This window comes from Homo sapiens, chromosome 1, assembly GCF_000001405.40.
Source record: "Homo sapiens chromosome 1, GRCh38.p14 Primary Assembly".
Classification (NCBI taxonomy): domain Eukaryota; kingdom Metazoa; phylum Chordata; class Mammalia; order Primates; family Hominidae; genus Homo; species Homo sapiens.
Window position 1 is genome coordinate 162,290,324 of NC_000001.11, and position 23,307 is coordinate 162,313,630.

Consider the following 23,307-nt stretch of genomic DNA (forward strand, 5'->3'; position numbering starts at 1 on the left):
GGTTCATTTTACACAATCTCTGACAGATGAATGCACATTAACAGCAATCAGCCTTTTTGTCATCTTGTTCTCATATGACAGTTCTCTGGTATCTTAATGCTACCACCACACTCAGACACATGCACACTTTCTCTCTCTGCTTATAGAATTGAGAGAGGTGAGAGTAGACATGCTATTGTGTAAATGCACAATTTTCTCCAAGGAAATGGAATACTTGGCAAATGTCACTGATCACCATCATGATTAGGTTAAGAACTAGAGCTCTTTGCCAAGTAGCTGTAGGTGTAGAGAGAGCCATAGCCTATATTCAGCCGTGAGGCAATGGTTCCATGTACAGCCTGACATTGCCCACTGATTCGTTGGTGCTTGTGCCAGGCTAGTGGGTAAAAACATTGAATAGCCCTCTCCTCCCACAATTAGCTTGTTGATTTTCACTAGGTTAGTGTGACAAGCTGGGAGGGACCCTCACCCCAGATGAGAAGACCTGGGTTTCAGTCCTGGCTCTACCCTTCTTGGCCTGTGGTTCTAAGCATGTTATTTTGCCTCTCTCAGCTTCAACTGTGAAGAGTTCAATTAGGTGATCACTTTAACTTTTCTAGCTCGGATACTCTGTGCCAGCTCTGGAACCATGCTTTTTGGTGTTTGTGTGTATATATAGGTCACCTGTATGTATTTAGGTCTTTGAGAATCTACTGGACTATCAAAAAAAAAAAAAACCCACAAAAGACAGCCCCTGGAGTCTGAGTGGGTCACTATGTTGTTGTTTCCCAATCTTCTAGAGCAGGAGGGGACCCTCTGAGGTCCAACATCTCTGAGGCAGCCATCCCAGCCTCCTCTCTCTCCCAGCCTGTCTGTAACTGGTGAATGGTGATGTGTTTCCTGGCTGAGAACTGTGTTTACAGTAAGTCTCTGCCCTCCAGTGAACTTTTTAAGGGCAGGAGCCATCTTTGTAAGCCCAGCACTTGCCTGGGCACCAGACACATGTAGTATGTTTTCAGTAATCGTGGCTGTTCACTAGCTGCTTGATTGAACATTATTTGTGTGTAATAATGTCATTAAATTATGAGAAAATAAATACTTAGCAATTGGATCAAATGAAGTCTAGTTTGTTACCTTTATCATGTTGTCCTCCCTCTTTTTCTTCCTGTCAATCTGCCAGTTTAAAAGGAAAAAAAAAAAGGATGAGATCCTTTCTCAAATATAGGAAGGCTTCCATAAAAATTGCTAATTCCATAGTATTAATTGTAGGATTTGTTCAGGTGACTGTAATCTTCAGGTGCATTATACTAGTGTAGGCAGTGGCCAAATATATTCAACTTTCATTGAGTTGTAAAAAACATCTTTTTGGTTATAATAACAAATATCTAAAAATGCTGTCATCTTGAACTGACGCCAACAGATAATGAATCTCAAATTCTTTATGAATCTTAGGTTGAATTTGTGATGTAAACCCAGTTACTAAGATAATTAGCTGTACTTTGATGTCTCTCAACCAGTACATTTTCTTCAACTCGCATCTAGGCTCAAGTAATTATCTTTTCCATGTATATGTAATGATTAGTTATTATAATACTGGAATCACGCTATAGCACCATTTGCTAGGGAGTGGAATCCTGAGTAAGAAAGACTAGTCTTGAACTTCATCCAAGGGATTTTTCTAATAAAGGACCCAAAGAGCTTCAGTTTTATATAGTTTCTCTTATGAACCAATAACTTTCTTGGGATCCCCTAAGGCAGCATTCTAAAAAGGCTCCATCATTTTCATTAACAAATATTCATTGTGTGTCTACCATGTTCAAGGATCTGCATAGGTTACATAAGGATATTAGATATGAACCCTTCCCTGCAAAATTATTCTTTGTCACTGTATGCACACATAGGTCTATTACAGGTTTTATAAGATTGCATTGTAGTTATTTATCTCTTTCCCCCATAGTTTGTTAGCTTTAGGGGGCAGGGACCATGTCTTCCCTCAAATCTTATTTCATCTGTTTGGAAAAGTAGAAGACCAGAGGGAGCAAACTGATGTAAGTAGTTACACACTAAGGTGATAATGAGAACAGCTAATAGTAATAGCTAACACTGATGTGGAGTACCTGCTATTGCCCAGGCCTTGTTTGATGCATGTTTACACTTAACAAATCCTCACAACTGTCCTATTAGGTAGATACCATTCTTATGATTGTTCAAAAGCAGATTGAGCAACTTGCCTGAATCTCACATCCTATCAGTGGTGAAGTCAAGGTTCGAACCTTGTCTTACTTAAATCCCAAGCAGGTTCTTTCCACTGCTCTGTTGCTGTGTGTGTGACTGATCTTTTTGGACCCCTTTGGATAATAATCACTCCATAGGAAATGCCTAATTAATTAAGCCAGAGTCTTTAACTCCTAACCTGTACTCTGTCATGGGTGTATTACATCACAGGGAAACTATGTTCCTGCCCAAACAGTAGTGCTGGTTACTATGGAAACACAGAAGTCAGATCGAATTAAGAAAAGGAGGCACTCAGAATTATAGAACCAGAATTTAGGAGACTTAAAAAGTGATTTGGCCTGATCCTCTAATTGATTAGATGTGGCAACAGGATAAGAGAAGTCCAGTGACTGTCCCTAGGACCCCCAGGTAGTTACTGGCAGCCAGGGTGTGAATCTAGGCCCTAAACTTCATCCAGTCTTCTTTCCACCGTGCTGTGTTTCTTGGCCTTCTTTATTTTCTGCTACTTTAAAAACAGGCCTATTAGGAATTGTGCACATGGGAGGATTTATTACTGCTTCAATTTTGAAATGCACGTTCCTATATCCATAGGTTATACCTGAAGGAGAGAGATAGCTTTATTTTCAGTAGTATCCCATTCTATCTAGAAGCATGGAGAACTTGTCAAACTGAGTTTATGTGGCCTTTGCAATTTTTTTTTGAGTCACCGCTGCTATTAGGTGCTTGAATAATGCTGCATGAATAATGGTGAAGCTTGCAGGCTTTGTGATACGCCTACTGATAATTCTAGTAGGGATAGGAAATGAATGTCAGTACAAATTTCTCCTCTACTTTAGCATTCCTGAGGAAGGGTTTCAAAGATGCCATATCCATTTCCACATATCAAAAGGAGAAAGGACCACTGTGATAATTATTCCTGACTCTGTTTTCTCTTTTTGGCACGGTTCCAGGAAGACCTACCTCTAAACCAGTTCCCATATAACATTCCTTGCCAGGAGCTTTTAGAATGATAAAGTGGCTGTGAATTTCCATGGAGGACTTGACATTTGCACTCAACAGATTAAGGAAAGAGAAGGTCCTATATCAAAGATGCGCTTACCCCATTCAGTGGTCTTACAAAAGCATACAGAGCAAGCCCTTTATTCCCTTCCTCTGTGGAAAGCAAAGAACTTCCTGGCAGTGGACAGTGAAAGACTGATTTCATCATTTGGAGTTACAGACCATGGGACTGCAGGTAGAAGAGTTGGATTTTATTTATCACTGGACTAGGTGGCCTTGGAGGGAAATAAGCCAACTTCTCTGAGCCTTAGTGTTCACCTTTAAGGTGGAGACCAATTTTAGTAATCTAAAAGCATTATGTAGTTCTTTCCCTAAATGGAGGAAATGACTTTTTTCCCCACATCAACTATGAGAATGAAAAATGAAGCAGATACAGATGACTTTCCTATATCTTTGCTTTCTCACCTTCTCACTTTCTGTGTTAGTCTAGGTCCTGTGAGAAGCAGATGCCAAGACAGTGTTAAACGCCTGTGGGAGAAAAGGGGGAAGCATCTGAGAAAGGCTGGGAGGACTGTCAGGCTGCAGAGAGGCCTGCCCCTGAGTGCAAGAGAGAGGGGAAGAAGGAAGGAAGGCAGGTAGGAAGGAAGGAAGGAAGGAAGTAAGGAAGGAAGGAAGGAAGGAAGGAAGGAAGAAAGAAAGGAAGGAAGGATAGCAAAAGGCTCTTAGACTGCAGTGCAGTCTGAGGAAGGCTTGGCAAGGTTTCAGGGTGTCCAGAAGCCAAAGTTGTCTGTCGGGATCCCCACATCTCCCAGGGACGGGCCTGCCTTAGTATCCCTCCATTCTCAGTCACTGGCTGGAGCAGTCTGTGGAAAGCATAACTCCTGAACCAACACGATGATGAATTTCAGAGTGCAGCAGCTGGGTCCCTTGGGTGCACCTCCCTGTGACTGGAGGTCTGTGGTGTACACTCTATGATCACACCTTTCTTTCTCACTCCAGAAAATGTTTACTAATCGAGATATGAAGTTGAGCCTTCCTTCAAGTTAACCTACTCCCTCTATCTCGCTGACTTTTAAAAATACCCTAGAGTAAGGAATTCATAAACAAAGAGAAGAGGGGAAGGGAGGAGATGGCACAGAGAGAGAGACAGGTTAATAAACTCTAGTTTAGAGACCTCCTAAAAGGCTCAGCAGTGCCATAGGTGTCCTTAGCAGACGCGGAGGGCACAGGAGTAAGAGAAAGGAGTTACACATATCCACATATAGAATTTGGGCATGGCAGAATGCTAGACAGTTGCCCCTAGGACTAATTAATCTGCTCCACCAGGCACTCCCTCCCCACTCACAATTTTTTCTCCATTTGCTTTGTTTCTGGAGTGAGTGAAGAGGCAGATCCTTGTCTCCTTGAGCATTTAGCGTATTGGCCTCACCACTGCTGCTGCTGCTGCTAGTGCTCCTGCTCCAGCGGGAGCCCTGCCTGAGCCTGGACTCATAGTGGAAGGAGGTTGAAGACCAGCCCTGCTGGTGCCCAGTCCTGTGGGTTCCCTGGGCTGTTTTTAGTAAATAAGCCTGTGAAGGGCCCCCTTACCCCAGAAGGCACTCAGAGAGGTGCTGACAGCTTTAGAGGTGTGTGTCCCCTCCTTTTCTCCTCTCTTTCTCCTCCTGTTTCCTTCCAATCCCATCTGAACTGAAAATGTCCTCATTTCCTGGCATATCATGGAGACCACAGCTGATCCTGAACAGTGAGTAGCAAGACTGAAATTTCCCTCACACAGCTACCAAGACTCCAAGTCTTTATTTTCAAGGATTTCTTTTTTTTAAAGGAAAAATAAAAGACTTCAAAGACAGTTAAACTGAGTTTGGCTGTAGTTATTGTTCAGTAATACATTCTGTCCTATCTATTTTTGAAGCCAACTTTGATTTATAATCCCATAGGTTTGGGAAATTTGTTTTTCTTTCTATTTTTCTGCTCATTTCAAATTTTTTTTTTCTGATTGTTTTTCCTTAGAAGAGTATTTCCATATAGAAAAGTGAGGAGGAGCTGGTTTGTTTGTGTTGTTTTGTTTTTTTCTTTGAAATACTTGCAAAACATAGGCAATAAGAGACACAATTTCAGACCAGGAGACAGGAAGAATCAAATTGTTCTTGAATTAAGACATTGGTGACAATCATAAAGTCATGTGAGATATGTGAAGCGGGGCCTCCCTCTAAGTTAAGCCATTCATTGTATTGCATTGCCTACGAATTGTGCCAGAGTAGTGGAGTCAGCACTAGTCCAAACATCAGGAGAATTTGTTTTTACTCTTGGCTGGGCGGCTAACAAGGAGTGACACCTTGCTTGAGTGACTACACTCCTCAGGGTATTATTTGAAAGAGGTGCGGTGGGGGAGGGGTGGAGACCCTTTAGTTCTAAAGTTCTTGGACTATCATTCAGGCTGTGAGGAGATTGGGTTAAAAAGCTCCAACAGTGGCCGGGTGTGGTGGCTCACACCTGTAATCCCAGCACTTTGGGAGGCCGAGGCAGGCGGATCACCTGAGATTAGGAATTCAAGACCAACCTGGCCAACATGGTGAAACCCCATCTCTACTAAAAATACAAAAATTAGCTGGGCATGGTGGTGAGTGCCTGTAGTCCCAACTACTCAGGAGACTGAGGCAGGAGAATCGCTTGAACCCAATAGGTGGAGCTTGCAGTGAGCCGAGATCGCGCCACTGCACTCCAGCCTGGTGACAGAGCGAGACTCTGTCTCAAAAACAAAAAAAGCTCCAACAGTATTTGCATTAGCTTCTTGAATAACCAAAACATTGGTGAGTCCCTGTTACTCCCCAAACCCATTGAGTTATCTTGATGATTTCCTGATCTCTTCATAGATTTAATAATTTTCATCCAAGGATGAAGGTCTGTAAAGTGACAGGACTAGATTTTAATGAGCTCTTCAGAAAAGGAAAATTAGTAAGTTGGTGAAAAGATCTTTGTGGTTTTCTCCCTTTTCAGGACATTCTATATGGGTGCTGGGACCTCTTTTAAAAGTAAAGTATGTTTTGGCTTCTGTAGATCCTGCTAATGCTCATTCTTATTAAATTAACCCAAGGGGCCCTGGGAGCCTGGTTTCTCTGTCCTCCTATTCACATCTGCCAGAGAAAGAAAATAGTTCTGTATTATTTTGCCTCATTATTCTTTCCTTTTAATGAATGTCTTAGTTACATTCTATAGAATTGCTGAGAAGAGTCTTGCCCAGCTTAGCTTTGATGATGGAGGCGCATCGCAAGCCTTGGAAGAAACATGAACTGGCGCCCGATGCATCCTCTCCCTCAGTGTTGCCACCAGTATGAGTGGAAATAGAGTCACAGGTCACAAAAACTGTCCACTGTTACTGGGGCTCAGCCTAGACTCCACTTAGGATTTGATATTCCCCAAAGAGAGGAATTGATTGGGTAGAGTTGGGTCTTTTTACCATAGAGCTCAATGATTGGGTGATTTAATGACAGCCCCTTGCTGGCTCCCCATGGTCAGTCAGGTGGGGATCCCAACCCCAGACAGTCATGGGCAGATTAGCACAGTTGGCTTCCTCAGATGCATGCAGCATAAACCAAATCACCCTCGTTCAGACCCTCTTTGGGGCTGCTTTCCTCAGAAGGGAACAGGACATGTGGCTGGTTGGGGTTTCACAGCCTCTTTGATGTATTGGGTCATTGGCTCCTCTCAGTCACTTTGCAAATCACACCAGAGCTGCAAGGACTGTTGGGAGCAGACTGTCCTGATGGTAAGAGCATGAGAGAAGTGAAGATGCATTCTCTCAGGAGCAAAGCAGGTCTGCTGATGCCCCACCAAGTGTTTATGCCACCGCAGCCACTTCCTGAGTATGCTGAGGTGGGCCCTGGCCTGAGACAGTGGTTAACGGGACCGTGGTCAGTTGGCTTTCTTTGAAATGTCAGGGGACCTCCCTGTGCCAGGCCTGAGACTCCAGAGGAGTGTGTGGTGTGTGAAAGAGAGCTTCCGGTTGAGGATTTCAGTCCAGTCTTTCTTTGGTGTATAGCAGTGGCTCTCAGGCCCAGGGTCACATCAGAACCACTTGAAATGTTTGTTAAAGCTACAGATTATGGGGCGTCACCTCTGACCCACTGTATTCATGTCTCTCAAGAGGTGGAGCCGAGGCAACTGTAGTTTAAAAAGAAAAAAAAACATGATAGATATAGGAACCAGACTTTTGCTTCTGGGAAGACCAAGTAGATGCACTTTACCCTATTCCTCCTGCTAAGTACAGCTGAAAACCCTAGACATTTTATATAAAATCAACATCAGAAGATTTTGAGAGGTGGAGAGAGGGCAGCCTGGCTAGGAACTTAGGGACTCACAAATTACATAGTTGTGAATTCCCTGGGTTTCTTTTCACCTCATATATCCCAGATGCAGAGCTGAAGAAGCTGGCAACTCACACATGCCAGTGGGAACAGGCATAAAAGCCCCAACAAAAGCCTGCTCTCTCCAGCCAAAGAGGAGAAAAGGGGCAACATAACAAGGCAGAAAACTGTCCACAATAACCACTCTCTTCCAGCCAAACAATTCACGGAAGACCGTCCTCACTGGCACCCAGGCCCCCGTGGCTGAGCCGGAGCCCAGGCTTCCACCCTTGCTGGGCTGTAATGAGGTGCCCCAACACCCCCTCCAGGTGGTGCCACAGAAGGCTGAGAAGGGTGCCAGGCTCATCTTCCCTGCCAGCTGGTAATGAGTGTACCACACCACCCTTCTTGCTCCCGTTTCCCATGTGGTGTCTGTGGAGAAGCTACACTTCCACCACTGACCTGCAGTCATGAAGCCACTGACTATGCATGTTGTCAGCGGATGCCATGTGGGAACTCCAAGGCACTCCTACCCCTACAAACCAGGGTGGTGTAATTGGAAGCCCAGTGGGGACCTAGAACTCCCACCCACACCCAGCAGTAATGAGGATCAGCAGAGGCAGAGTGGGAACCCAGCCTTAACTCCCTTCTGGGGGTAATAAGGTGGCATCCTACTCCTTCCCCTATTTAGTGTCACAGTAAGACAGTGAATGCAGAAAGCTTAAATAACATCTAGAGTCTTACAATACTCAAAATGTCTAGGCTTCAGTTGAAAATCACTCACTATACCAGGAATGAGGAAAATCTCAACTTCTGTAAAAAAAAGACAATCAACTGGTGCTAACACCAAGATAACAGAGATGTTAGAATTATCTGAGAAAGATTTTGAGAGAGCCATCACAACAATGCTTCCACGAGCAGCTACAAAAACTTTTAAAACAAATGAAAAAGCAGAGTGTCAGCAAAGAAAAAGAAATAACCAAATAGAGATATTAGAACTGAAAAATATAATAGCTAAAATAAACTCAGTAGATGGACTCCACACCTTCATAAACATTGCTAACTGCGTTAAATTAAAAGTGCAGGTAGAATATGTGGTCACGGCTATAGATGTGACTTAATTTAATATTTATGTCATAAAGATTTTGCCCTGAGATCAAACCATCTTTTAAGCATATTATTATATTTTGCTGTTTGAAGGACTACTATGGAGAACAATGATATTGGATGTTTACAATATGCATGCAGATATTTGGACTTTAACTCTGAAGAATTTCAGTGCATCAGTTGGAAAGCAGCCTAATGTGTGCTCATTATGAGGTCATTAAAAAAACTGCTATAAACCAATCTGCTGGGTTAAGAGGAGTGTCATGGCTGGAACATTAAAAGGCTGTGTCTCTATGTGGCTGGAACATTAAAAGGCTGTGTCTCTATGCCATGCAGATCAGGGATCCAGTTCATTTTACCAGGTTTTGGGGGGATCACTGGTAAGTAGGATACATACAAAGAAAATTCACTATGGTAGCAGGTAGTCTGGAAGACTTGTCTAGTGAGGGATGTTTACAAAACCTGGGATTATTTAGTATAAAGATGTTCTGGACTTGCTCTGTTTATGTATTTGAAGGGGTTCTTGCTTAGAAAAGAGATTAGTCTCCTTCTGTGTTGCTCCAAATAGGTAATTCGTATATTAAAATTTTATAGGGTAGTCAGTAGCAATTATAGGAAGGTATCTTTTTAAAAAAATATTTAGTTTTTGGCTGTAACTGAAGTTTTGTTGTCTATAAAACAGTGTTTGATATTGGATGTTTTTAAACCAGTCTAAAATCCACCTCTATGGATCATATTGGTGTTTAATCAAAATTCAGGGATTAAATGTGGTGTGTGTGTGTGTGTGTCTGTGTGTGCACGCGCACATACGTAGTATGGTATTTGGGTAAAGCTGCTGACAGTGCTTCTTCCTAATGTCACTGTAAGAGCCTGGACATGATCTCCCCTAGTCCCGGTGGGGGCTTAACAACCTCCAAAGCCCAGTATGTTTAGAGAGTGGCCACCCTGTGCATTATCTCTGAGAAATCCATATAGCTAAAAGCATTCAATTAATCCACTGTATACCCCTTGCGCTTTCCCCCCTCTTGAGTCCTTCTTTCATGGATGAATGTGTTCTTCCCTAATTTCCCTGGACAGCAAAGTCTCTCTGACAAAGGCGGATGAAGGTAGAGCAGGATTCTCTGTCCTTGCACCTGGAGGTTGAGCCTGAGAGGGTGTAGTTGGCCGCTGACCCTAATGGCCCCCCACACTGGGGTGCTTCTCACCTCAGCAAGCACTACGATTGAATCCACTCTCCTCCAACTCCTCATTCCTAGCTTAGAGGGTTTCTTTTGTGTTCACTGTAAGTTAGGTTTACAGCCAGAATGAATAGCCTCTTAGGGGTCACTCTGCAAATGTACCAATTAACCTACCTAGCTTGTCTGGAGCTTCACATTACGTCCCCACTTCACCCCGAGTTCCCTAAGGACTTCTTGGCTTTTGCCTACCCTCTGAGCCCTGGAGAGGCACTCTCCTAAAGTGCTTGGAGGAAACTGATCAGACTAGACACTTGATATTTTGCACTCGTCGTTTTGGAGCAATCAACTCCAGGCCTCTTAGAGGGAAAAAGTCAGGTCAGGAGCAAAATGCATGTGTTTGCATAAGTATGCATAGCTCAGTGTGTGCCCTGGTCCTGTAACTGAGGACAAGCCTAACTTATTCATTTACAGCTTCTTTTATTGCAGAAAAAGGAATGGACGTGGGATGAGAGCAAGATGCTGGTGATGCAGGACCCCATCTACAGGTAAGAGCCCAGTCCAGCACCCAAGATATCACTGAGCCCCAGAGTCCTCCTGCCCCCTACAGCCACCTGTCAGGCTGGTGGATCCAGGCAAATTTAAATAAACTTCTATGCTTTTCCCTCCTGAGACCTGTTGCTTCCATTAGATGTGAGTTCAAGAAGTAAATCTGCCTTATCATTCTGGTCATGCTTGATTGCATTAAGGAAGCTATGAAGTATATCTGCTTGATGTTTAATTTAAACCTCTCGGTTGTAATTGGAGACCTTTTAAATTTGTGCTAGTGTTGTCCCAATTGAAATTCTAAAATTGCATATATTGATCAAAATAAGAAAACTGGATTATTCCATCACCCTATGCTAACAATTTCCCACAGTTATCTCTTCCACCTCTCTACCCCTTCAGAAACTGAGCATAGTAATAAGAGCTTTCATGCAGTAATCGAAAGTCACAAATGTGTCTACAGGTCTGAATGCTTTTGTCTCCCCAAAATTTGTATGTTGAAATCCTAACCCCCAAGATGATGGAGTTAGGAGTTGAGACCTTTGGGGGTGATTAAGTCATGAGGGTGGGGCCCTCATGTTTGGGATTAGTGACCTTATTTTATAAAAAGAGGCCCCAGAAAACCAGCTAGCCCCATGGTGATGTCCTTCCCCTATGGGAAGACACAGCTAGAAGGTGGGCCCTCACTAGATGCCGAATCTGCCAGCACCTTAATCTTAAACTTCCCAGACTCCAGGACTGTGAAAAATAAACTATTATTTATAAGCCAGCCAGTTTCTGGTATTTTATTATAGCAGACCGAACCAACACACAACCAGAAATTGCTTTTACAAGGAGACTGGTATGATTCCTCTAGAGATTAGATGGCTGCCAACCATGTGTATTGTCCTGGGCAGAAGAATATATCAGATAGCAAGAACATATAGAAAGCCAGGCTCTCCCAGGAACCATGACAGGAGCTCGAGTCATGGGTGTCATTCTTGTGTCCTGGATCTCGGCAGACTAAGCCCCACTTCCTTCCTGTTTTCCTCATTGGGAGAATGGCCATTCCTTTAGGAATTTGGGGACGTAGATTTAGGTTTTGATTTTGTCCGCTCTCAAATTATTGCCATGCTTTTGTTGACAAAGTGGATAAGGGTTGGAACTCAACGTGTGAAGTTGGCAGCATGGTGGCCCTGCCTTTTAAAGAGCAGATGCTTGTGAAATGGAATGTCCATTCATCCAAACAATGTGCAGGTGTGAAATACTCATGCCAGGTACTGTGCTAGGTAATTTCATAGATTACTAAACTAAATGAGTTGCAGTCCCTTGTTCTCAGGGAGTTTTAGACTAGTGGGAAATGGACAAGTTACTGAGGTATAAGATAGTATGTCTGACAGAATGAATTTCTGCCTCTGTGTTCCTGTAGTACTGTTTAATGTTTTTTTGAAATACTTGTTATAGTGTTTCTGTTACTTTTTTAAAAAACAAATGTCAATTTTTTGCCACTAGCCTGTTAGGCTCTTGAGGGAAAAATCTATGCCCTTCTACTCACTTTTGTATATCTAGCGCTAAACCTGCATCTGGCCCAAATGAAGCACTTAATAAATGTGCAATGGGTGGATGGATAAATGCATTGAATTAATATCTGAAAATTAACATAAGTGTTATGGTGATTCATCGAAGGGAACAATTATCTTCTACTTGAGTGATGAGAAAAGGCTTTAAGAAACAGATTGCATCAGAAGCTGGCTTGAAGAATGTGAATGGGCAGGCACCTATGATATGCATTTTGTAAAAGGAAGAGTTTCTTGGCTTTATTTTCTTAATGCTGGCACCATATATGGAAAAAAGTGACTTCCTTATGGATGCTGATCATGAGTGAGTTCTGCCTTTTCCTGGTTGAAAGAAAGGACTTTCCCCAAAGTTTTCACATGTCCCAAGTAAGCTGCTGACTTTGCTTATTTTTAATAGCTTCATTGAGGTATAATTGGCATGCAAAAATCAAACATATTTAAAGTTGAATAACTTGGTGAATAAATCTCAGTCAAGATGGTGAACATATCTATCACCCCAAAAGTTTCCTTGTGCTTTTTGTAACCCTTCTCTCCTCATTTCTCTCCCACTTTTTCCCCAATCTCAATCCCCACATCCCCAAGCGACCACGATCTCCTTTCTGTTATTGATGAGTTTGCATTTTCTAGAATTTTGTGTAAATAGAATCAACAGTATATCCTCTTTTTTGGGAGGAGCTGGCTTCTTTCACTCAGCATAATTTATTTTGAGATTCATTCCTTGTCATTGCATGTATCAGCAGTTCATCCCTTTTTATTACAGATCAATGATCTGTTTTATAGGTATATCACAGCTTGCGTAACCATTCATGTGTTCATGGACATTTTGGTGGTTTCCGGTTTTGGGCTGTTACTATTAAAGGATCTATGAATGTTTGTGTAATGAACATTCATATGTTCATTATGTTCAAGTCTTTGCGTGGACATATGCTTTTATTTTTCTTGGGTAAATACCCAGGAACAGAATGGCTGACTCATATGATAGGTATACATTTAACTTTTAAAGAAATTGCCAGATTACTTTCTAAAGGGATACCACCAGTGGTGTACAAGAGTCCCAATTCCTCCATATCTGCCAACATCCAGTATTGTCAGTCCTTTTAATTTTAACTCTTCAAATATGTGTTTATTAATATCTCATTGTGATTTAATTTGCATTTTCATAATGACTAATATTAAATATCATCTTTTTGTTTGTTTTGAGACAGGGTCTTACTCTGTCACCCAGGCTGGAGTACCAGTGGTGTAATCACGGCTCACTGCAGCCTCAACCTTCTGGGCTCGAGCAATTCCCTCCCCTCAGCCTTCTGGGTAGCTGGGACTACAGATGTGCACCATCACACCCAGCTAATTTTTAAATTTTTTGTAGAGACAGGGCCTCACTATGTTGCCCAGGCTGGTCTTGAACTGCTGAGCTCAAGCGAACCTTCCATCTCAGCCTCCCATAGTGCTGGGATTATAGACGTGAGCCACTGCACTCAGCCTTCTCTTGATCTTACATGCCATTTGTATATATATTTTTAAGCATCTGTTCAAATCTTTAGCCCATTTTGTTTTCATAATCTTGAGAGTTCTTTATAAATTATGGATGTAAGACTTTTTGTCAAATACATGGTTTACAAACATTTTCTCCAAGTCTGGCTTGTCTTTTTTTTTTTTTTTTTTTTTTAAATAGTGTCTTTTAAAGAGCAAAAGTTTTAAATTCTGATGGAGTCCAATTTGTTAATTTTTAAAATTTTATTGATTGTGCTTTTGGTGTCATAGCTAAGAAATCTGTACCTAACTCAAGGTCACAAAGATTTTTCTGTTTTCTTCTAAAGCATGAAGTTTAAATTTAGGTTTTAAGTTTATGTGTATAATCCAAGTTGATTCAATTTTTTATGTGGTATGAGGAATAGATTAAAGTTCTCCTTCTCCTCCTCCTCTTCCTTCTCTTCTTCCTTCTCTCTGTTCCTCTCTCCCTCCCTCTCTGCAAATGGATGTCCAGTTGTTCTAGCCCTGTTTGTTGAAAAGACTGTTCTTTCTCCACTATAGTGCCTTTGCTAAACATCAGTTATCCGTCTCTGTGAGGTTTATTTCTGGACTCTTTATTCTGTCCTATTTGTCTAATTGTCTGTCTTGACACTAGTACCACACTGTCTTGATTACCATAGTTTAATAATTCTTGAAATCAGGTAGTAATAGTCTTCTTTCTTTTTTAAAAAAGTTTTTTTATTCAATTAGTATTAGTATCGTATGTCTTTTTCCATCCATTCACTTTTAGGAAGAAATATTAGAGGGAATGGGGAATGCCAAATACATTTTAAATGTTAAATGAATTTTTCTTTGGCCTCAAAACTCACACAGTAGGCTCTCTGATTGTTGATAGTCTTGTGGATGTCTTTCTAGTCTATCAAAATTTAGCAACTTGTGTTTAAAAACAAAGAAATAAACTTTAGTCCCTGTGTTTTCGGTGTCCTGGGTACTTTTTTTCATGTATTAAATTGTGATGTTTTGGTCTGTGTACATGTGAATTTTTATATCTGTGTGTGTGTGTGTGTGTGTGTGTGTGTGTATGAGGACTTTTTTCTAAAATATATATGGTCCATTTTATCATGAACAAGGTTATTTATTATGATAATATGGTAACATTTACAAATGAGCTTTTCATGGGTACAGTTATTTTTCTGCCCTGAAGGGACCACTCTGGTTTGATTCACTAGCTCTGCTGAAGAATACATACAATTGTTTGTGGCTTTATGAAACGCTGGCTTACTGAAGTGTTCATTTTAGACGAATGAATTTTTAATTTTTTATTAAGTCAAATTTTTTATTTAAATCTTTTGCATTATTCACATAGAATAACAGAATCATATATTTTTTAATTGTGGTGAAATAAATATATATAACATAAATTTTGCCATTTTAACCATTTTTTAAGCATACAAATCAGTGGCATTAATTACATTGGTAGTCCTGTGCACCCATCACCACTGTTTCCAAAACTTTTTTATCACTCCAAACAGAAACTCTGTGCCCGTTAAGTAGTAACTTGCCATCACCCCCTTTTTTTAGCCCCGGTCACCTCTAACATCATGGAATCTGAAGAGGTTAACAACACTATGGTGGACATCTAAACCAATTCCTCCTATTTTTTTTTTTTCAGTTTATCCTTTATTACAGTATACCTCTTTATCACAGGAAGTGATTCGCTATTACAGTGTTCTTCATTAAACGAAAGTAAATTTTTTTAATGTATAATTGTTTTCCATTTATCCTAGCTCTTATCTCTGGAGCCACAAATATATAGATCTTTTTCTCTTTTAAGTTAACCCAAGTTCCTGAAGCCATTCTTATGGTATTTTTCTAGACTTCTTAATTTCAGAAAACAGTATTTCCTCTTTAAAATATTAGCGTTTAATAGAATATCCCAGATATTCTGTCTTATCAGTGTAAAATGTGGAAGACATATTTTTACCCCCACAATATGAAGTTATACATTCATTTTGTATGAATTAGATCCAGTGTAATTTATTTGCTTAGCAAACTGTGATTGGTCCTAGGTCATAGTGGAGTTGGAGTTCAAACTCCTCGGGATAATAACAGTAATTGTTTTTAATTCAGGTTTTACTCATTCTTTATTTCTATAGGTTTCTTTGTTTTTTAGCCTAAATATAAAACTTTACATATATTAATGTTCAATTAAATGTAATTGATTTGAGACTATTCTTCAGTTTTTGAATCCTTGTGAATCAGGATTTCAATCAGGGAAGCAGGATGACTGTGAGTGTCCTGTAATAAGGAATTTGCTATAGGATTTGGACCTGTACAATTTCAGTAGGAGCTGGGAAGTAAAAAGTCTAGAAAGGCTCAGAGAACAATTATTAACCAACCCTGGTGTGGGTTATGAGTCAGAATGTGCAGGAAGCCAGCCACATCCATGTGCTAGATTAGAACTGCAAAGGGGACAGGTGCAGAAGTCTCCGGAAGGCTGTTGGCTCTTCATGGCAACCACCTTTGAGTTTGCAGTGAAGTTTCTGATGCTGGGCCTGAGCTGACTGTTGTTCAGCAGGGCTAATAGTCATGAAGGAGAGCTTGATGCCAAGCTAGGTATAGAGAAAAGTGAGGACAGACTTAAGCAAAACAACTCCCTGGCACCTTGACATCCATTCTCTCCCAGAATAGCTGGAGCTATTATGACCTCCAGCACATAATAGCTGCTGCTTCACTCCCACTTCCCAAATCTCCCACAAATTATTCTTGTGGGCAACCGTAAAATAGGAGAGGGAATGCTCAGACACATAGTTCTAGCCTAGGTGAGTTGACCCGGTATAAAACCACCACATCAGGTTCTAGTAATAGGCTAACTCTCCCTCCCAGTTTTTTGCTAAGTGCAGCTTTAATAAGAATAGTTTCATCAGTCGGCTTGGTGGCTCACACCTATAATCTCAGCACTTTGGGCAGCTAAGTTGGGCGAATCACTTGAGGTCAGGAGTTCAAGACCATCCTGGTCAAAGTGGTGAAACTCCATCTCTACTAATTATACAAAAATTAGCTGAGCATGGTGGTGGGTGCCTGTAATTCCAGCTACTCAGGAGGCTGAGGCAGGAGAATTGCTTGAACCTGGGAGGCAGAGGCTGCAGTGAGCCAAGCCTGGGCAGCAGAGTGAGAACCTGAGAGGCAGAGGCTGCACTCCAGCCTGGGCAACAGAGTGAGACTTTTGTCTCAAAAAAAAAAAAAATAGTTTCATCCAAGTCACCGATAAGGCTGTTGAATAGAACAGTGGTAGGCCTGGAAAATAGAGACTTTGTTTTTTTTCTCTTTTATTCATTTTGGATTTCCTTTTCTTTCTTAATCTGCTTATTCTACTCTTTCTGGCTTCAAGGGCATGCTTCCTAGAAAAAAATAAACTAAATAGTATTGGAGTAGTTGTTCTGTTATGGAAGTCACTGTGCTTTTGAGTTTCAGTTTTCCTGCCTTAGCATCCCTTGTCCTAGTCTTATTGGTGGACACTGATGGAATTAACATGTTTGACTAAATTAGTCCCTAGGCTGTTTATGTTCCTTGAAATGAGTGAATAGACTAACAAACAAAACTCCTTTTTAAAACTAGGGGGAGTAAATTAATCTGACCTGAAGTCTTCAGGAGCCAGAATGGAAGTAATTCTTCAGTTATGAGTTTAAATGATCAAGTTAGGTAGAGTCTCCATTAGGAGTTCCAGCCAGTCTCCAGAAATGGCATCAGTTAACATCCAAATAGTGACATGATTAAGAATTAGAAGTCTAGGCCAGACGCGGTGGCTCATGCCTGTAATCCCAGCACTTTGGGAGGCTGAGGCAGGCGGATCACGAGGTCAGGAGATCGAGACCCTCCTGGCTAACAGGGTGAAACCCAGCCTCTACTAAAAATACAGAAATACACTGTAATAGCCAGGCGTGGTGGTGGGTGCCTGTAGTCCCAGCTACTTGGGAGGCTGAGGCAGGAGAGTGGCGTGAACCTGGGAGGCAGAGCTTGCAGTGAGCTGAGATTGCACCACTGCACTCCTGCCTGGGTGACAGAGCAAGACTCTGTCTCAAAAAAGAAAAAAAAAAAAAAGAATTAGAAGTCTATTCCAACTTTGGCTTTCTACATTGATCTGTTTTGATTTTGAGCAAGTCAAAGTTAAATTATTCAGGGCTAACTAGAGAAGGGAAGAAGGGTTGCATGGAGAGGTAATGTGTTTTGTTGTTCATTGTGCTAGGCACTAGGGGAAACAGTGGTATGTCAGCCTGGGTCCAATCAGGAGACAGAAACCAGGCAGTGATTTAAACAGAAGAAATTTATTATAAAGAACTATTAAACTATAATAAAAGAGTACCTACAAAGTGTAAAGAGGAGAGTACTCAAGGCAGCACAAATTTGGAAAGTAGACCCATTCCCAAGATGCCCTTTAGACATTAATGTAGAAGATATGATTACAGCTACTAGTGACAGAGAAATTCACCAGATTGCCTATGTCAGAGCTGGTCCCAGGTGCAGGGAAAACAGAAAGCCATCCTCCAGGGCTTGGATCAGGTGATCTGCAGCTGGTGAGTGGGCACACAGGTGGAGTTGGGGTATGGCTGTGGGTAAGAGACATAGAGTATGTGATGTCTACATCAGGAGAGCTGTGAGAAACAAACCTGGGGGGCAGGGGGAAGGCTAGCAGAGAGAGTTAGAGCATCACTGTGGATGGGAGGCCCACAACACCTAGTGTCTGCTTTAGGAGGGCTGTAGGGAGGTGATAACCAGGCGGGGCTGGTGCTGAGGTCACTGAGGGATGTGTGTTCTGGGCATGCATACCACTGGACATCCTCATATCCACACCACTGATGGGCTGTGTAGCAGTCGGACCAAGGGAAGCCCTTTCATTCTGCAGTGTTGCCCCTCCATTCTGCAGAGGAATCTTACCATCGTGCTGCTGTACAGGAGATGTGCTTAAAGGAATTCCGTCCATTACCACAGAGCTTGTATTGAAAGGTAAATTTGGAGCTGAGTAGCAATAAATTGGTACAGGTGGTTACTAGGACACAGTCCTACCCTCAAGGAATATGGTCAGATAGAACTTGACATGTGTTACTTCACTTAATCCCAGCAACCCTGAGTGGTAGAATGGTAGAATCTATCATTCTCATTCTTAAGACAGAAATTAAGCTTCAGTGATATCGGGCAACCTCCCCATGGTCACACAGCTGCTGCATGGTTAGAGAGCTGTCTGGCACTCACACTTTTGCCCATTTTGTTTTACCTCTGTGCTCAGTGCTATCCACCTTTAAAGGTGCCTCATTCATAAGCTTGCATACTCTGTTTTTGTTATAAAAATTATGTATAAAAATACAGGACAAACTACATTTTAAGGTAAATGGGGATTTTATAGAGCTATTCTGTGATATTTGGGATTTCTTGGGAAATCAGGATACCCATGTAGTATGTTTCACTTAGTTAACAATCAAGAGTTTAAATGATCAAGATGAGCAAGATTCAGGAAAGAGGAGTATGCTGAGATTCAGGAACCATATCAAACTACAAGCAAGGTAAACAAGAAATCAGTTCTTAAACTCTAGACTCAGTAATGAAATGACAGAATGTTAAAGACAAAGATTTTAAAACCAGCTGAAGGGGAAAAATATATTGCCTACAAAGAAATAATTTTTTGATGGCAAAAAATGTAAGGCAGAAGACAGTGAATTATCTTTAAGAATATGCTAAGTTAAGTGCTTATCAAGTGCTGAAGCTTAGAAAGTACTCCTTAAATACCTTTTTATTATGGAAGTAAGGTAGAAGAAATCCTGGGCAGCTTTTGTAAAGACTTGGAAATAAACAAAAAGGGCATCCATCCTTACAGGAGAATGAGTAGTTCAGAGTACAGACAGAAGAAAGACTTGCATTTATCAGGTGACTTCTGCAGAGCAGTTTCAGTAGGGAGTTGGGGACAGCCGTTTAGTTACTTGGTAGTGAAAGAAAGGAGAGCCATGTTATGATGAATTACAACTTAATAGTGAGATCAAATAAATATGTATTTAAAAAGAGGAGCTAGTAATGCCTTTATAAAGGGAAGATGAAAAGGTCCTATGGGGATAAAGATGGAAGGTTTTTAAAGTATGTGTAATTTTAAGCATTATTATTTTTTCAAAATGTGCTTATATACAATCCTGACCTGGGATATGTAAGTGGAATCATAATTATGAGATAAGGGAAATGCTGTAATATTTAGTCACTGTATTGTTTTGTGGAGCCAAAAAGCACTCTCAGGATTTAAGGATATCTTTAAGATACCTCTCCAAAGTCCATGCTGTCCCTCCAAAATCAGAGACCTCCCAGACAGAGATGACTCTATATCTTCCCTTCTTCCACATCTTCACATGCCCCACGCTCCAACTCAAATCCCGGAATGCATTCCCTTTTCTCCATTCCCGTTAGACTCTGGAAGGGGTCAAAGGCACAAAGGGTCATAAAAAAAATCAGGGAATGAGGTATACCCCGTTCTTTGCTTATGATATATACATGTCTCTTTTGCTCTCTGTGTGGTTTATAAGTGATGGGGTGACATCTGCACCTTCTGTACTGTTTCTGTAAGGTTGAGTGTTTTCTCTTCCTTCAGCCTCGCATTGCCTAAGGTTTTTGAGCAGCCTTTGCTAAACTGAGGAAACTGATCATCAGGGATGTGGAGGCAGCACAGCCTATAGATCTCTTTCTAACTTCTCATATCATTTCTGGGCCAGCCCATCTGGCGGATATGAGTGTCCATCACTCTAGTCATGAGTCATGTTTCATGTAGAGTTGATGTTTTTATTTCCTCCGGCTTCAAAACCTTTCATTGATAGTTCCTTTTCATACATATGCATGAGTAGGAATTACCCAATTTTACGCATGGAGAATCTTATGAACTAAGAAGGGGAAGGAAATACCATTCATGCTGCCTAGCTTCTGTTAGTTCCCAGGGCTACTTAGCAATCCCTTATTCATCCTGGTAGATGATAATACCCATCATAATGCCCTTCTTACCTTCTACCTGTCAACCCTGTATACCCTCACTTTCCATAGGTGACCCCCACACCTCTCTGAGATTCCTCAGCTGTCCTCTCCTCCCTTAGAATATCTTAGTGTCACTGCCAACTGTCTCTCTGTTCGCTGACTCTCTCTCTCTCTTCTGGACCCATCTTCGCTTGTTTCTTCAGCATCTTGAGCTGTGAACTATGCTCTGTCTCTCTGTCTTCCTGGATACCCTCTTTCTCCCTACAAATATGTTCAGCTCTCTCCTTTCCTTTTTTTAACCCTGCTAACACCACCCAAGAGCCCATCTTCTGTTAACCCTCCCTTTCTTCCAAAGCCCTGGGTATGTCTTTGTCAGGGCCACCATCCTGCAGGTCCTCATGGCCTGGCCTTGCTTTCCACCACTTACTTCACAGAAATGGCTCCCTCCACATTTACCCTTGCATTCCCCACACCTCCAAACACACCAGCACATTCCTCTGTTCTTCTGTGTTGCCCTGCAGTATCATCTACCACTTCTCATTTCTCCTATTTCTGTTTTTTGCCTCCTTCTCTTTTGTTTGCTTTCAACCCTACATAGTTATATGTATTCTTTATCTTTCCTGAAGGGAAAGTTCTGGGTTGTAGTGTTTATCCCTCCTTATAGGGTGCAAAAAGTCCCTTGTGCTTAGTGAGTCTCAGTTAATACCTACAATGGATGATGAGTCTCCAGCAAGGGATTAATGACTTATAAATCATTGGAGGCATGGTGGCTCCAAGTTATATGTACATATTAGCACATGTGTCCAAGACCTTTCTTTTTCTCTCTCCTTCTTTCTTTCACCCTTTGTTTTCTTTTTTTTTTTTAATTATACTTTAAGTTTTAGGGTACATGTGCACATTGTGCAGGTTAGTTACATATGTATACATATGCCATGCTGGTGCGCTGCACCCACTAACTCGTCATCTAGCATTAGGTATATCTCCCGATGCTATCCCTCCCCCCTCCCCCCACCCCACAACAGTCACCAGAGTGTAATATTCCCCTTCCTGTGTCCATGTGATCTCATTGTTCAATTCCCACCTATGAGTGAGAATATGCGGTGTTTGGTTTTTTGTTCTTGCGATAGTTTACTGAGAATGATGATTTCCAATTTCATCCATGTCCCTACAAAGGACATGAACTCATCATTTTTTATGGCTGCATAGTATTCCATGGTGTATATGTGCCACATTTTCTTAATCCAGTCTATCATTGTTGGACATTTGGGTTGGTTCCAAGTCTTTGCTATTGTGAATAATGCCGCAATAAACATACGTGTGCATGTGTCTTTATAGCAGCATGATTTATAGTCCTTTGGGTATATACCCAGCAATGGGATGGCTGGGTCAAATGGTATTTCCAGTTCTAGATCCCTGAGGAATCGCCACACTGATTTCCACAATGGTTGAACTAGTTTACAGTCCCACCAACAGTGTAAAAGTGTTCCTATTTCTCCACATCCTCTCCAGCACCTGTTGTTTCCTGACTTTTTAATGATTGCCATTCTAACTGGTGTGAGATGGTATCTCATTGTGGTTTTGATTTGCATTTCTCTGATAGCCAGTGATGATGAGCATTTTTTCATGTGTTTTTTGGCTGCATAAATGTCTTCTTTTGAGAAGTGTCTGTTCATGTCCTTCGCCCACTTTTTGATGGGGTTGTTTGTTTTTTTCTTGTAAATTTGTTTGAGTTCTTTGTAGATTCTGGATATTAGCCCTTTGTCAGATGAGTAGGTTGTGAAAATTTTCTCCCATTTTGTAGGTTGCCTGTTCACTCTGATGGTAGTTTCTTTTGCTGTGCAGAAGCTCTTTAGTTTAATTAGATCCCATTTGTCAATTTTGGCTTTTGTTGCCATTGCTTTTGGTGTTTTAGACATGAAGTCCTTGCCCATGCCTATGTCCTGAATGGTAATGCCTAGGTTTTCTTCTAGGGTTTTTATGGTTTTAGGTCTAACGTTTAAGATAAAATACTGGCAAAACGAATCCAGCAGCACGTCAAAAAGCTTATCCACCATGATCAAGTGGGCTTCATCCCTGGGATGCAAGGCTGGTTCAATATATGCAAATCAATAAATGTAATCCAGCATATAAACAGAGCCAAAGACAAAAACCACATGATTATCTCAATAGATGCAGAAAAAGCCTTTGACAAAATTCAACAACCCTTCATGCTAAAAACTCTCAACAAATTAGGTATTGATGGGACGTATTTCAAAATAATGAGAGCTATCTATGACAAACCCACAGCCAATATCATACTGAATGGGCAAAAACTGGAAGCATTCCCTTTGAAAACTGGCACAAGACAGGGATGCCCTCTCTCACCACTCCTATTCACCCTTTCTTTTCAAAAGTCATTTCATGCCTCTATGTAGAAAGCGCTTGGAATGCAAAGACAAACAGGGTGTCTCCCATGCCCTCAAGGATCTCACTGTGACTTCTATTAAACTTTCCATGATAGTTTTTAGATAAATATTCAGGGGAAGGTGAGGCATAAGTTTTAAAATGACCAAATAATACATAACTGTTACTAAAAATAAAGTAGTGAAGAGTTTTATAAAGGAAAGTGTCCGTTTTCTTTCTTCAACACCTATTCCTCCTAGTACTGCTCCATATGCAAATATATTGACACTCGGATATTCTTTCAAACTCTAATATTCTACATTTAGTTCTAAATTATCCTGTTTTTCTCTCAGTAATATATCAAGAGCTGCCTCCCACATCTATACTTGCAGTCTTCCCATGATGGCTTTGGCTCTGAGAGTTCCAAAGTGAAAGTGATATTTTAGGAAAACCAGTCTGGCTTGGAATGCAACTCATCCCAAATGGAAAGAAACTCCTGTCAGTGAGATGGACTGAAGA

General features: G+C 41.2%; 1 protein-coding gene across 2 annotated transcripts in view; it reads left to right on the forward strand.

Annotated features, from left to right (window-relative positions):
- Positions 1 to 23,307, forward strand: part of NOS1AP (nitric oxide synthase 1 adaptor protein) — a 300,785-nt gene that overhangs the window by 220,633 nt on the left and 56,845 nt on the right. Inside the window, exon 4 of one of the 2 annotated variants that reach the window (NM_014697.3) lies at positions 10,310 to 10,383. In NM_014697.3, the coding sequence (NP_055512.1) occupies positions 10,310 to 10,383 (74 nt within the window). The remainder of the gene's footprint in view (positions 1 to 10,309; positions 10,384 to 23,307) is intronic. The other variant, NM_001164757.2, reaches the window with a different exon arrangement.